This window comes from Homo sapiens, chromosome 22, assembly GCF_000001405.40.
Source record: "Homo sapiens chromosome 22, GRCh38.p14 Primary Assembly".
Lineage (NCBI taxonomy): Eukaryota > Metazoa > Chordata > Mammalia > Primates > Hominidae > Homo > Homo sapiens.
The window spans coordinates 27860825-27877545 of record NC_000022.11 but is presented as its reverse complement, the minus strand read 5'-3'; the positions used below and the strand labels follow the sequence as shown (position 1 = coordinate 27877545).

Genomic DNA, 16721 nt, shown 5'->3' with positions numbered 1-16721 from the left:
GCACAACTTTTGTATTCCAGTGACAGAAAACAGTTATTTATAAGAAATTAATGAGTGTATTCTGTGGCTCCAGTGTGGAGACTCAGTAATCCATTTATTTACCATATTATATTTTGTTTTGTTCTCCGAAGGCTATCCTGCCTTTTTTTCTTAAATAAGAGTTTTCAATTAAATAGAGTTGTATTAACACTAATCCGAATATACCTTATGCTGATACTATTGTATTTTTTCTTTGTTCAGGCACTATTATTGGTGGAGCAAGTAGTGTCTAGGGATATTACACCTAACTTGATAATGATGGTTTTACTAAGCCCTTATTCTGGCCAGGCCTCTGGGCATTATACAGATAATTAAAATTGAATCATAAAAAATTTTAAACACAGTGCACTTTAGCAATAAGATTTTTCTACTTTTAAACATGATTTTAAAACCCATTTTAAAAATGCATTTCCTTGGCCTGGTGAATTTGCTCTCTTTTTTCCCCAAGGATTACAGAAAGTGCATAGCAAATTCAGCCTTCAGAATACCCAGGAGCTGAAGACTCAAGTAGGCTACAGCTGTCTTCACCCACAGTATTCTAAAAGAACTAATGAGATGAGAAGTCTGCAGCTGGTGGCAAGCACAATAAACCATGAGCCAAGGGCTTCTCTTCATCAGAGCCTCCCCTTTCCCCATGGGATCCCAAAGGAGACAGAATACTAACAAAGCCAGCAGGCTGTCTCATTCCACACTATTGCTCATTTGCAGCTATAATTGGTAGCTGAGGTTGCATTCTGTATGCTGAAACTGTCATACATGAAGGAATATATTTGTTCATTGTGATACGGATATAAATTGGCCAGTTTTCAGATACAGCAAGACCAAACTAGATACCCAATAGTGAAAATGTAGCAAAGAAAATACTGTTCAAAAAATTAGGTGTTTGTTGTGGAAATACAAAACTGAGGTTGTTAAAAAGCTACTTCCTGCTTCTTAATATCTTGCAACTTAATTCAGCTGATTAAACATTTACGTATTCTTCATATTCAAACTAACGTAAAACAGAAATTCCTGGGTCTTGACAAGATTCATTATTCTCATCTTTCAAGGTTAAAGTGCTATTGTTAATAATTGGGTTTTGTTACGTTTTCAATATAATATCTTTAATATTTTCTGCTTTGTATTCAAGAGGAGAAAAAGCAGAGAGGGGAAGACTTCATTTCATACATACATATGTATATGTGTATGATATTTTACATACACACAGTTGTACTTCATAGGAAAATCCACTTTGATATCTCTAGTGCTGCGGCTTCTTGGTATTTTTGAAATGTGGTTTGATTGTCTGGCATTTGTTGACACCTTTTGCCATCATCCTGTGAGGTGTACCAGAATGTGCCCAGGACTGAGGCTAAGGAGGATTGAGTTGAAGTGCTGGGGTAGGTGAGCCCTACCACTTCCTCGTCAGACTGTGGTTTTAGCATCTGTCAAATGAAGGAGCTTGGGTGGTCTTTAAGGTTCACTTTACTTCTATGATTCTGTGAATCCATAGTTCACATTTTTCTCCTGTTAAACATGATTTTAAAATTCATTTTAAAAGTGTGTTTCCTTTGCTGCTTTTGTTTGGTTTTGATTCTGACAGTAATTGTCTCCATTCTCTGTTGGCAGTTAACAGGTACTTCCTGGGGTTTGAGTTACCTGTTCTTTGCTTGCTTCTTTCTTTATCCCAACTAGACTGATTCTTTAGGAGCCAGAACTGTGTTAGTTCTCTTTTACTTTATCTGTTTCCTTGAATTACCTCTTACTAATAACGTCTGGTGTGCTACCTTCTATATGGTGGCTGTTCAATAACTAGATTTTGATTGAGGGAAATGATGCTGAAAGTGATTATTTGATACAATGTTAAATACTTTCAATGTTTGAAAAAGAAAATGAGCTTGCTTTTAGGTTTTAATTCCAAGCCTCTGACCAGAAGAAAATGTTTTATGGTGTTACAGGTTTATTTATGTTAATAGAGTAGCTTATTTCTCATTGTGAATCCAGGTCTTGAAACCACCTGTACACACAGTTGATTCTTTTGTCAATCAGAAGTGGAGTTATTCATTTTTAGGATGCAGTTCAAAATTGTAGTTTAAGAATTCACACTTGCTGACAGTAACTGATCTTTCTGCTGCTTTGCCCAGACATAGGAAGTAAGTCCAGTTGTCCAGCTCCTTGCAGACTGTCCATCCCAGTTTGTCGTTCCTGGGTAATGCTGATGCCTGTGGCTATGCCACATTGCATATTGTAAAGCATTAAGACCCAGTATAGCCAGACCTATTTGCTGTTTAATACTTTGAGCTTATTGTTGGTCCTTTTTGTAGACAACCTTTAGAGAGGCTTCAAGTTCTGGGTCACATATTTACAGACTTATCTTTCTTTAAAGTTTTGTTTTCTCTCTGAACTGAACATTTTTCCTTCCTCACATAATTTGTAACTTTCTCTTTAGGAATTACTAACATGGCATATGCACTTACTGAGTAACTGTTGAGTTTTGAGTGGCTGCTTCTCAACGTGTTTTGTTGTTGTTGTTGTTGTTTGATTTGTGGAAAGTTCGTATTATACTGTGGAGCATGTTCAGTTCTTGCTTTTGCTCATACTGCCCTTATCTCTAGAACAGTGATTTTTAGTTAAGGTTTCATATCTGACTCATCTGGGCATTTTTCACTAAGTATGGGGTCTCTTCACGAATTCTGTGAAGGACCCCAGAGTCAGAAAGTCTGCTCAAGAAGGAAAGGACTCTCCCTGCTGTCTCTTTCTTTGCAGTGTTTTAAACTGACCAACCGACCACGGTCAAGTTATTGTTGCAAGTCTCTCTTATTGTTATTAATCTGGGCTCTAGCTCTTCAAAAGTAATTTTATCTTTTTTTCTGGAGAGAGAGAGAGTGTGTGTTTGTGTAATGACAAGAGAACTTTTGTAAAGCAGATAGATTTTAAAAGATTTTCTTTTTTCATTTCCTCCGTTCTGTCAGGAAAAAGATATACTAAGGGAAACAGAATTTACACACACTAGAACCCTGAATAAAACCTTCATTTTAGAGCCTTTCCCCTGTGGTATATAACTGAGGCAGTCCCGTGACACCCCTCCTTCGCCTCCTTTGACAGTGAGGGGATGACGTGAGTGCAGTCCTTCTATGAGGAAGACAAGCCATGTGTATCCCAGGGCTCTCGAACAAGGGTTTGGAGAAGCCAGTCAAGAAACTGAGATGTCCACCACAGACCCAGCTGTAGGAAGAGGTTGGGGGTGCTGCAGAATCGATAGTTCTGATTTTGTTCCCAGCCACAGTAGTTGCTCTGGCCAGCATTAACAGTCCAGTGTCATCATCTACCTGTAGTGTCAAAACTGGGATGGGTATGTTTTATTCTTTGAATGTGATTATCCATATATCAAAATGCTTAAATTATTTAAAAAACTGTTGAAAGATTTGTTATTGGAGACAGCTGTCCAGTAACCAGTCAGAATGGATTGCTAGTCCAGGACTTTTATTATTTCTTATTATGTAGTTATTTAGCCCAAGGTAAAAGTTTAAAGCAAAGGAAACCAAACTGAAAACAGTGTCTTAAAGAAGCATTTTTCTACTTTTACGCAAAAGCACAGTGAGTCTAATTGATTTCTGTCCTGTGTTTTGGTAGCTGCGAAGAGCTATTCTGGCACGGTTAAAGAATATTCTCTGGTTTTCTTCTCTGCCTCTGACTTTGTTTTGCTTTGCAGGACTACAAAGCTGATGAAGACCCAGCATTATTCCAGTCAGTCAAGACCAAGAGAGGCCCTTTGGGACCCAACTGGAAGGTACTGGATGCTGACCTTTCTGACAGGCAGAGTCTTGGCAACAGAACACTTGACAGGTCCTGAGTCTTGAAGAGCTGGTGACGTTTAAGTGAAAAATAGAAATGGCACAAAAATAGTTTTATTTGCGATAAGGACTTACAGCCAGTTGCAGTTGGCCAGCAAATCTGTGCTGCATTAACAAACAGAACAGAGCCAGACTGTCACTTTCAGCATAATGCAGCTCCAATAACTCTTAAAAGAGACAAGTGATTTAGTCTTTGGGGATTCTAATGTTCTCTTTTGAGACCTGAAGCAGTATAAAAATCCATTTTAAATGAAGGTTTATAGTTTAAATTTAGTCTTATTAAAAACTGAACAAGCTCCCTTCACCCAAGCTCATATTCCTGGACTTTTAATAGTTATATTTTTGGAAAGCAGGACACGAGTGAGCAATTTTTGTGGCAAGCAGTTTTTGTTTTTGTTTTGTTTTTGAGACAGAGTTTCACTCTTGTTGCCCAGGCTGGGGTGCAGTGGTGCAATCTGGGCTCACTGCAGCCTCTGCCTCCTGGGTTGAAGTGATTGTCCTGCCTCAGCCTCCCGGGTAACTGGGATTACAGGCATGCGCCACCATGCCTGGCTAATTTTGTATTTTTAGTGGAGACGGGGTTTCTCCATGTTGGTCAGGCTGGTCTCGAACTCCCGACCTCAGGTGATCCACCCGCCCTGGCCTCCCAAAGTGTTGGGATTACAGGCATGAGCCACTGCGCCCAGCCAGTAGTTGTTTTTAAATAAAGTGCACACCCTTACTTTATTCATGGAAGTAAGGTAATGTCAAGGTAATAATTTAAATTGCTATAGAAATATAATGCATTTTAAAGACATCTACTAAACTAAATGACAGATCCTTAAAGAAGTCTTAATGTGTTATTGGCAAGTTACTACAGCTAATTTGACAAGAGAAGAGCATAAAAACTTAAACATGCCCAGAGCAGATTTTCCACTCCCAGGGTCTTACTTGGTAACCAGTCTGTCTGTGCTGAAGCCAGTTACAGGTCATCGATAAGTGATGTCTAGGTACTAGTTGCATGCAGATAAGAGGATTACTGTTACAGCCCCACAGAGAACTCATTGAGTGGTTCTCCCTGGGTGTTAGACTGTTTTGTGGACTGTCTTGTGCATCAACTAAAAGGAAAAATGAATTTGACTTTGGTTTATAAGAAATGATTCATAACTATATTATTTTCACATTTGTTCTCTGGGTAGAGTTTAGTTCAGAATTCTCCCAGTTTTAATACTTAGCATGTTAGGCCAATCTTGCATTATTACAAAGAACCTGAGAATGGGTATTATATATAAAGAGGCTTGGGCCAGGTGCAGTGGCTCACGCCTGTAATCCCAGTACTTTGGGAGGCTGAGGTGGGTGGATCACTTGAGGTCAGGAGTTCAATACCAGCCTGGGCAACATGTTGAAACCCCATCTCTACTAAAAATCCAAAAATTAGCTGGGCACGATGGTGCTTGCGTGTAATCCCAGCTACTCAGGAGGCTGAGGCAGGAGAATCACTTGAACCCGGGAGGTAGAGGTTGCAGTGAGCTAAGATTGCACCATTGCACTCCAACCTGGGCGACAGAGTGAGACTCCGTCCCAAAAAAAAAAAAAAAAAAAAAAAAAAAAAACCAGGCTTAATTGGCTCACGGTTCTGCACACTGTATAGGAAGCATAGTGCTGGTATCTGCTTTTGGGGAGGCTTCAGAAAGCTTACAGTCATGGTAGGCAAAGGAGAAGCAGGCGTCTCACATGGTGGAAGTGGGGCAGGGGAAGTGTGCCATGCACTTTTATACAGCCAGATCTCGTGTGAACTCAGAGTGAGAGCTCACTTATCACCAAGGGGATGGCCCAAGCTATTCATGAAGGATCTGCAGTCATGATGCAAACACCTGTTAGAGGCTTTACCTCTAACATTAGGGATTGCATTTCAACATTGGGGATTACATTTCAGCATGAGATTTGAGCAGGGACAAATTCCCAATCTATATTACCCAGAAAGTGATATATACCACTTATAAATTAACAAATTCAGCCTGCTTGATGTAAATTTGCTTTAATGGATTTAGTGTCCCCAGCCTTTTCCAGATTTCTAGCTTCAGACTTTAGAACTCAATCTTAGTTGGAGGAGAAGCCCTTTGAGATTTCACACTGGTCTTCTAAACAAGGACACCATGCCAGAGAGCAGCCCAGATGGTGGCTACCTCCACTGGTGCTGTAACTTCTAAAAAAGTACATCTTGTTCCAGTGAGTAGTAGCTCTAGCTGACAATACTTTTACAGGGAGTAAAGGGGCATGAGGTTGAGACCCAGAGGTGAATTAAATATTGTATTTTCTTGAAATTATTAGCTTTTCAAGTATAAACATTAAAAGACAATGCTACATTATGTGGTGGGCTTTATGTTTGGGCTCAGATCCTTCCTATAGGAACTCCTGATTTTATAACAGGCAGCAAAAGTAGTTTGATACTATGACTTGTACTGATTTCTAACTTTTTAGGAACTTGGAATATATACCATGTCTGGCCTGATTTGTAACTGATATTGCTTTGTCTTTTATTATTGACTAATGATTGAAATTCTAGAATAGGTTTAGTTCTTAGAAATAATGTGAATTTTGTATTTCTGCAGATTGCAGAACTGCAGTTTTTTTCCATTTTCCCCCCTGTGTTAAACAGTAACTTATTAGGCTGATAGGGTGCTGGTTGTTTCTGCCCATTTGCCTGTTGATTGTTCATTTTATCCAGATGATGGTGTATCCAGCTACTCTTATAAATTCAGCTACTGCCTGACTGAATTTCTGTGAATTACTGTGATCTCAGAAATAACTAGTGCAGTCAAGAATAACTGATAATAATTAAGCCATCCACTTGCTGCTGTGGAGGGAAATAAAGCGTAAGAAGATAGCTGATAATATGGCATACAGGAAAATAGGAACCTTTGGACTTGATCTTACCAGTGTCTTCTGTAAACATGTTCAGCAGGCCCTCTTTGCCAATTACTGTCCTGGTGGAGGCACTGAGGGTAGCACTGGGGAACGATAATAGTTGGAAATTTTTATACTTCTGAAATGCAAGGAAGAAATAGGGAACAAACATGATAATTATGGCTGAAAGGAAGAAGAAATCTTATTGTGGACCCACTTAACCAGGGTAGTGTTGAAGAATGTTCTTATAGAAGAGCTGCCTGGTAGTTCCACAGTCTCTCTCTCAAAAGGCCTCTGTGAACCATCCCACACATACCCTTCAGCAGAAACCTGCCTTACCAGTACAGATTCCAAAGTCTATTCAAAGCTAAATGCAAATCCTATGATTTCTTTGAAACTTTTCCTTACTTGTCTGATGGTGGTATTTTCCCTCTGAATTATTGCAGTATTTACTTCCTGTCTGCACCAGACTGACTAGGGGTAAAGAAACTTTTCCTTGGTACCAGGTACTATACAAGGTTACATTTAATCTTTACAACCTTCCTGTGGTGTAAGTTCAGCTGCTTTATTTTATATAGTTGAGAAACTTGGGCAGAGAAACACATGTAATAGTTGTAGGAGAAACAGCAGAATGTCTGCCATTTCTGGAACACCTGATTCGGTGGTAGTTACAGCAGTGTGTAAGGTATGGAGATGTAGCAGATTTTAACTCTTAATCCAGTGACTCCTAGATCACCGTTCTGTACCTTTTATGCCCTGTTGCATCATTGGCAATTGTGTGATGCCCTATTCATGGTATTTGCCAGAATTTGATAATTTCTGTTACACTAGTGGTACGTTTTCAATGGTCAGGGAATCTGTAAGTGTCGGAGGCACTAAGGGAGATCCATTAAAAAGCCACTGGGAATCTACACAAGTTATAACTTAACCCTCACTCTGAGCCTTGATTTCCACATCTCCAAAATGGAAATGATTTTAGTAACTACCTCAGAAGGTAGTTGTAAAGACTGAGTGAAATAATGTTAAGTTCCCAGCACAGAAGAAGTGCACAATCAATGTTAACCGTTATTGTTATAATGCTTTTGTCTTTCGTCTCTTGGGGTTGCTGAGATCTATAAATGTGCCCCTGTATTTATGATGCGTAATTCTTATCTGTCTAGTATTCAGAGTTCCCCTCATTCTAGAATGTGTTCCCCTCATTCTGGTATCTAGGGATTGTTAAACACATCCGGGTTCACGTGTCTTTACCCCTCGTGGTTATATATGTTTAATGAGTGATTTTATTTGGTCATGCATAAAGCAGAGAGCCACACAGTTTAGAGAGGATTCACTAGCAGGGGATGATGAGGTTGCTAAGGAATATATTTTCATATTTTCCACATTTGTTAAGAGTACAGACAATTTTTTTAGCCTATGATGTGATACATATCTTTTATTTTTAAAAAACTACAAACCCAGAGATGCAGGCCTCAGTTGTATATTTATTTTCCCTCTGAAGAAAGAATTTTTAAAATCTGAGTGCAGAAATTATATTTTTGTTACTTAGGGTTCGGCACTTGATGAAGTGACTGTGTGCATAGTAATAGGAAAGCGATTTATAACCTGATTAAGATTTTTGCTTCAAGGCAGAATTGTGCATTTCTGATGGATGTTAATGTCTTGTTTCTCTATAGCACTGTGTGCACGTGTGTTTGTGTGTGTGTGTGTGTGTACCTGTTTCCATTTGTTTTTAGCTTTTCAGTTTCCCTTCCTGATTTGGGTGAGGAATTGTTATTTTAACAGATTGAAACACTACCTTTGACGATTATGGTTTCATTTTTATCCCATGGCAAGGCCTCATTTCTTCCTTCATTTAAGCCAGACACCTCTTGAAGATTTAAGCTTCTGTGTCTACAAATACATGATAGTTAATAATTAGGCCTCTAAAGGTCTTTGTAAGAGGCTTTGTCAAAGCGTCTCTTCCTTATAGGGCTTGATGTGTCTCGGAAGTCTCAGCCAGAGCTCTGAACTTTGGAATATATAAGGGGATCAGGTCAAATAAATAAGTTGATCCAGAAATTATGGTGGTTTTTAAATTATCTTTATGTACATGTTCTTTCTCATCATAAAGGCATGCCCCATTTGTCTTCTGTGTTAACTCTAGCCTGAGCAAATGCTCCAGCAGTCCGAGCTTGGCCTTTCAGTTTTTCATACTGTTTAGCTGCTCAGTCAGCTTTAGACTCATTCTAGAACAGCCGTAGAGGCCATTCTGGATCCTTCATGCCAGTGGAGGGAAACCATATTTCTGCATTATAGAGATGTTAATTTGTTTACTGCCATGCTACCAAGATTTCTTTCTTTGTCTACCCCATGTCTGTGAAAAGATGTTGGTACCCTTGGTGTCAGTGACCTAAGATAATGAAACTGCAAAATTTTTTTGGCCAGGGATAGGAGGAGTAGAAGTGAGTGATGAGGGAGAAGTTGAAATTCAGGTGTGGAAATCTCTTTTGAGATAGAGAGTGGCAGGAAAGCCACCCAGAGACTCAAGTGGCTTATGAGCAGTGTTTTTTACTTGTTAGCCGCCCTAGTAGAAACACTGGGAGGTGCTCTCTTGTTTCTTAGCCTCGACTTGTCTGTGAGGTCCAGGGAGGATACGAAGCATTTGAAAACATGTTCCCTCCCTGTAATCTCACATTTGAAACCCCATAGTGGGTGGCATAAAGAGGCTTAGTAATTAGTTTCTGGTTAGACCACATTTTGGATTATGTATAATAAAGCAGACCTTCAAGCATGGCTGATTTTTTTTTAATATCTAGTTTGATGACTACATTTTTTATTTGATTTTTAAAATAAATATATAGCACATAGTATGTACTAATTATATTAACTCCTACAGAAGATACCAAAAAAAAGCTGTTCCATGTCTTTAAGAAGCTAAGTGCCCAAAGAGTGAAACTGATTAATTCTAACCTTATCTTGGCTATGGAATGTCTCTGTTCTCAGACAGAGTTGAAGGATTCAGGCACAGACGAATGAATGTCTTATTCAGGTTCAAGAAGTAATTTGGCAGTGTGAGCTTCTTGCAGATTCTTCCAGACACTTCCAGAAACAAAGTTTTCTTCATGAGTTTCATTTGAAGGTGAACTTGGGGTTTTACTTGAAAATAGTGTCACTCCTGGAGTAATCACCCACAAGCATGAAGCATTTAACATAGTCCTCTTTAGTAAAATGGGTGTGAGCCATACAAAAAATTAAGTTTGGAGGAACATGGAAAATGTGACTGATTATCCTCTCACAGGCAGTAAGCTTTCCTGTCTGGATCTTATTTCGCCTTTTTGTGAAATTAGATTAACCTACAATTAGTTCAGTCTTTTTAAACTCACATTTAATCTCATGTTTACTTCTTCCATTTAATATTTTCCATTTACCCCACCAGATGGGACTTCCCCACCTTTGAATGCCACTAGAGTCTTGCCGATGACCTTCTCATGGCTCCCAGTGTGTCTTGGGTCAGGGTGGTGGTTTATGTATTCCCCCTGTCTTCCTTCCCCCCACCTCCTCCATCTCCTGTTGTTCACACTGAATTTTAAACGGTAGGCTTTGTGTCTGACTTACCTTGATATGGGTCAGTGCCAAGCAGGGAGGTTTGCTCATAGTAGGGGCTTGTAAGTATTTGCTAGATTCAAGTTAACTACCTTAAACCAAATAAAAATCAAATATTGGACTTCCCATGTATTTACAGAAATATAATGTCCAATTTAGGTCTGTCCAAATGGCTACTAAAATAAATGGTTACCTAAATAAAGTTTAGGTTACCTAAATAGAGAGAATAGCTGAGTTGGGGAATGGGGTTCTGCTTGAAATTTCAGTACATAGACGTCACATATATTTCGTAATCTTGTGTTGATATTTACTGATGCACACACACTGGCAGCACTCCCAGCAGTGCATTTATTTTTAACTTTCTTGGTGAAATCTGGGTTGGAAACTTAACATCACAGAATCAGCAGCTGAAATTAAGCATTCACATTGCCTAAAATTGAAAAATGAAAATATGAAGACAGTTATGAGCCTTACAGAAACTGCTGTGTCTTTGCAAAGCGTTAACTCTGGTTCAGTGTAGCACATACCTATTCCATCTTCATCCCAACACAGTTTTAAATAGGAAAAAGTATGTGTAAACTTGACAAGTCTCATGAAACTGAAGGGACTGTATTTTTAGAAAATACATTTCCAGAATGCCTTTGGATTCTTTTTAAAAAATGTTAAATCTCTTTTACGTTTGTTTATATTTGTTTGTCACAGATTCGAGAAACTAGTTCTTGTGGATAACATGTACTGATTGCTCACTCCTCCAGTTAAACACACTGTGTTTTGTTTAGTTACATTGTGTGCCTCTAGTATACATTACTCCCCCTAAGACCTCATCCACATACCTTAGAGTAACCTAATATGTGTTGTTAAATTAAAAACATGACTCAGGCTTGGGAGTTTCATTTACAGTTAGAAACATGAAATGTAAGGAATTCAGTGAATATACAAACTATTTAAATACAATTTTGGAAACATTTCACAACTAGTGCTTACTGTATTACAGATGAAATTTAAATTACGTAGCAATGAGTCATAATTTGAGGTTCTTGTTAGCCCATGACGTTCATCTTGTAGAACTTTTGATTGTTCTCTTTGTAATCAACCATTCTTTACCTTTTTAAGTTGTCCTTTTAAATTTTCATGCTTTATGTAAAACTCAATTTATTAGCAAAATCATTTTATTTACTCGCAGATTAGCAAAGAGTTAACTGTTTTGCCTTAGAGGAGGAAAATGTTAGGTTTGGGCTGGATTGGAGTTATGTGTCAAAGATCTTAATTCAGATTTTGGTTTTATTTGCTTTGGGGTTGTTTTTTAGCCAATGAAGAAGAAAGAATCAGAAAACATTTTTTTAAAACTTTTATTTTAGGTTTGGGGGTACATGTGAAGGTTTGTTATGTAGGTAAACACATGTCACGGGGATTTGTTGTACATAGTATTTCTCACCGCCCGCCCCTCCCCTGCCCATACCCAATAGTTATCTTTTTTGTTCCTCTCCTTCCTTTCACCCTCCGCGCAACATTTGTATTTTTTTAAAGCCAGAGAGGAAGCTTTGCCTTGCCACAGGCTGTGAACCTCTTGAGAGCTAGGCAGAGACGCTGGAACTTCTTTGGGTCCTGTGGATTCTAGAACATTGCTCTGAGAGTGGGGTCCCAAATATTTGCCCCATTGAGATTTTTCACATTTTAAAGGTTACACATTTCTTCACTAGCATGTTGCTGATAACCTAGAAGAGTTGATCATTTTATTTTGCATGTATACCTTGTGATTGCTTTCAAGAAAAATTAAATATGGGATGGACTAAAGTTACGTATTAAAGATCTTAATTCAGCTTTTAACTTGATTTTGTTTAGCTTTGTTTAGATTTAATTTATTAAACATCAGAAAAAAGAAGCCAAAAGCCAGATTGTTTATAGTGAAAGAAGAATGAAGACTTGAAATAGTACCCAGATAATTTAGGGTAAAGTTGGTCTTTGTCCGAAAATACTCTGCTGAGGGCAAAAAAACTTCTTTAGAGTCAATTTGTTTTTCAGTGTATTAGGTTTTTTTAAATTTTTAAATGATAACTTTGAAAATAATTGTACACAAAAGAAAAAAATTAGTTGTAGTCTCATTTAATTACTATTATTTGGTATATTTTCTGATTCCTGTAGTTTATTTTGTTAGGAATGTTTGTACCATACATAGATACCTATTTATATTAATTCTCCTTTTTTTCTCCCACATTGTTAACTGTTATTTGAATTTTTTTCTTTTTTTTTCTTTTTTTTGAGAGTTTTTTTTTGAGTTTTGCTGTTGTTGCCCAGGCTGGAGTGCAATGGCACGAACTCAGCTCACTGCAACCTCTGCCTCCTGGGTGCAAACAATTCTCATGCCTCAGCCTTCCAAGTAACTGGGATTATAGGCACCCGCCACCATGACCAGCTAATTTTTGTATCTTTAGTAGAGACGGGGTTTCACCATGTTGGCCAGGCTGATTTAGAACTCCTGACATCAGGTGATCCACCTGCCTCGGCCTCCCAAAGTACTGGGTTTACAGGTGTGAACCACTGTACCGCTGGAAAAAAATGTTTTTTAATGGCTGTATGCATAATAGCCCATCGTATGGAAGGCCTATGAAGTATTTCACCTGTCTCCTGTAGTGGGTATTTCAGTTAATAATTAATAAGTCCAGATTTTTGCTGTTAACAGATAAATCTGTGGTATCATTTCTTTACTTGATTAATAGGATATGTTTCTAAAAGTGGAATTACCAGGTTACAGGGTACAGGGTAGGATATGAACAGCTTTTAAGACTTTTTATTACCTAGTGTCAGATTTCACTCCAGAGAGAAGATACCAAAAGGATTCTTTTAGGTTAATGTACGACATTCAGACATTTTCACTATTTTCTGTGCCATCATAAGTATGGAGACTTTCAAAGCCATATTCTTAACTTAATCAGTACTTTAAATAACTGTAGCTCACATTTAACAGATGACTCCCACAAATCATTTTGAGAATTGTATGAGAACTTTTAGATATCATGTATACATTAATAATAATAATGATTGAAAAAAATGTATATAGCTTGTGTGTTCTCAACTTTCTTCTGGTAATGTTTATGTTTTTAGGCAGCAGGCTGTTTAGTTGTTTGTTTTTTAGTTGGGTACGTGTTCTTCTCTGAAGGGTTTTTAAAAAAATAATTACTTGTAAATTGGATGGAAAACAAAAATCAGATTGGGACTGAATATACATTTTAGATCTGGAAAGATATCTTAGGGAACTGGTTCCTTTTTGTCCCGTGGCTTATAGTTTCTAAAATGAATTTTATAGAACAATGCCACTTTATGAATTACCAGTATTAATTGATTTGAGTTGCTTGCCAGAGTCACTAGAAAGAATGTGAGAAATAAACTTGGTTGATTGTTGAAGTCACGTATGTGTACTCTGTTCTTGGAGCTCAAGTTTAGTGTAGGCATATTTGTATTACATTTAGCTTACTCCTTTAATTAGAACCATGCTTCATCCCACTGTTTTTATAAAATTGCTGGAGAATTCTGAAGCATCAGTGTTCTAGGTACACCCAAGATTTTCATTTAGTAGAAAGTGTCCAATGATTTGAAGTTGTAAAAGAAAGCTTTCAGGAGCTCATAATTAATAGGACCTTCTAATGTTCAATCTGGAAAGTATCTTAGAGTTCATCAGCAGTTTGGTGGGGTACTCAGTCATAGAGGAAATTCACTATGGGTGGGTGACAGGCAGGGGAATATTTCCTGAAGCCCAGGCATATTACAGAATAAAACACAAAATTGTAGGAAGTTTTAGGACAAGTCATTGGATGTCAAGGATATGTAATGTTTACCACCTACAGCCCTAGACCAATCCTGGCCCTCAAGGACCTTAGTTCGCTCACCCCTGCTTTTAGTTTTTCCTCAGTGGAGAATGAAAAGTCCTGATAGAGTCTAGTTTTCCTGTTACAGAGGGAGAAATGAGGCCCAGAGAGAGGTTAAGGATCCTGACCTTTGTTAAACAGGAAGTTTAACAAAGTAGCACTCCTAGTCTAGTGCTACTGTTTGGCAGCTATATCTCACAATTAAGTGCCATATTCTACATATACCCAAGTTGTATTGCATATGAGGATTTTCAGTGACATTCATTGGATTAGGAAGTACTTCAGCATTGGCTCATTGTTTATTGATCAAATGATCTGTGAAAGACCAACTTTGTTGTCATTTCAATAAAGCTGGGCACTTAGAAGCTAGCTGTGTCTTATGGAAGGCTTGTTGACTGCTTCTGCATCCAGGAGCCCAGCTTAAGTGCCAGGGGCCTGCAGAGCAAGGGGAGTAGTATGTAAATATTTGATTTTAGCCCAAGCCAGCATCCACAACAGGAGGATGTTTCCGGGGTGAGAATATTGACACCAAGGGCAGCATTATTTACATAATTATCCTCTTCTCTATTAGCTACATTTATGTCCCCTGACAGCACCTAGCACAGAGTAAAGGGTAAATGGTACCCACTTCATACCTGCTGAATTATATTACTAAAATATGGGTTTGTATGTGTGTATACATATACACATACACATACATCCTGAATTTTCACATTGGTACTCTGTTTTAAGGGGGAAACGTCATGGAAAAATAGAGCTAAGCTAGCCAAGATATTTTGTTAACAGAGCTCACCTGCAAGAGAACAGTTTACTATAATATTTTTATTTAACTGCTTACTGGTGTTACCTCGTTGATGTAGCCCATGTATCAGGTTATTCTTCAGAAGATGAAATGTTACTACAGAACAAATATCTTGAGAAAAGTTGATCAATCATGTAGGACTCTATAGAACATTCAGTCGCATTAATAATACCAAGATAATAATTTTTCATATAGTATATCCCTAGAATTAACTTAAAACTGGGCCATGGTAGATAATGGGGAAAAATGTAGTCTGGTGCTTCAGTCATATAAAGGAAAAATAATCTTGAGGTTTAGAATAAGACTTAGAAATTAATCATTTTTTGAATGTATGTGGCCGATTTGAGAATCTTTGCTCACACGCAGCTTTTTGAAAGTGGGATGAGTTGAAGCTGGTAAGTTGAAGCTGACAAGCAGTGGTGGCAGCACCCAGTGGGACTGATCACTGGATCAGTGGTGAAGTCTGGGCACCACCGTGTGAAGACAGGGACAGTGGTGAAGAGGGAAGAGCCCGTGGGAGAGGCAGCTTTGGCCTTTGACTCAGTGATTTAGTTTTTATAAAAGGGGTCCCCGTCGTGTTGCAGTGACTTTCTTCTCTTATGAGGCAATTTGTTCAAAACTGTCTTGCAGATTCAAAAGTGGTCAATACAACGTTTATTAAAGAACAAGGGAAAGAGAGAACTAATGTGTATTAAGCCCTTCAGTCTCACCTACTAAGCACCTACTACACTGCCTTACTCAGTCCGCACAACCTCACAACAGTCCTAAGATGATGTCCCTTTTTTTTCTTTTAATCATCTTGTAAGCACACCAACACTGGGGCTTCAAGTTTACAGAATGGCTCTTTTCCCCAGACCATACTTGCAGTCTGCCTCTGCTGTCTGTGGTGCTTTGATATGTGCCTTCTGTAGTAGACCGAGCCCCTGAGGACAGGACCATGCCTGTGTTTGCTCACTGCTGTGAACCTGTTCCAGGCTTTTCTGGGTCAGCTCAGAAGTATCTTGGTCTTCTGCACACATCACCTTGGAAGTGGACCTGTATATTTAAGTCACTGATGTATGCTGCAAGCTCCTGGTTCACACCCACTCACTCCTTCCTGAAAATAAACATGCTAGTATATTGAACTCACTAAGTAAGGCAAAGCCTTAGTAAGACTCACAGAAATCATCAATAATAACATAGGTTGCAGTGCCCCACCTCCCACCCCAGTTTATTTATGTCTTTATTATTATTATTTTTTGAGATGGAGTCTTGCCCTGTAGCCCAGGCTGGAGGGCAATGATGTGACCTCAGCTCACTGCAACCTCTGCCTCCCTAGTAGCTGGGATTACAGGCTCCCACCACCACCCCCAGCAAATTTTTGTAATTTTTTAGTAGAGACGGGATTTCACCATGTTGGCCAGGCTGGTCTCGAACTCCTGACCTCAAGTGATCTGCCCACCTCGGCCTCCCAAAGTGCTGGGATTACAGGTGTGAGCCACTGTGCCCAGCCTTTTTTTTTTTTTTTTTTTTTTTTCCAGAAATGGGGTCTTGCTATCTTACCCAGGCTGGTCTCCAACTCCTGGCCTCAGGTGATCCTCCCACTTCAGCCTCCCAAAGCTCTGGGATTACAGGCATGAGCCAGTGTACCCAGCATCTCTTGGCTCTTTAAAAAAATAGTTTATTTTCCCTTGTTTACCAGAACAAGTCTTGATTTGATTCCTGACTACACTATTT

General features: G+C 38.7%; 1 protein-coding gene across 6 annotated transcripts in view; it reads left to right on the top strand.

Annotated features, from left to right (window-relative positions):
• The window catches only part of PITPNB (phosphatidylinositol transfer protein beta), a 67588-nt gene that overhangs the window by 41711 nt on the left and 9156 nt on the right, over positions 1-16721 (top strand). For 5 of the 6 annotated variants that reach the window (NM_001284277.2, NM_012399.5, XM_011530052.3 and 2 more), the window contains exon 8: positions 3731-3808. In NM_001284277.2, coding sequence (NP_001271206.1) covers positions 3731-3808 — 78 coding nt within the window. Of the gene's footprint in view, positions 1-3730; positions 3809-16721 lie in introns of those variants that run through there. The other variant, XM_017028707.2, reaches the window with a different exon arrangement.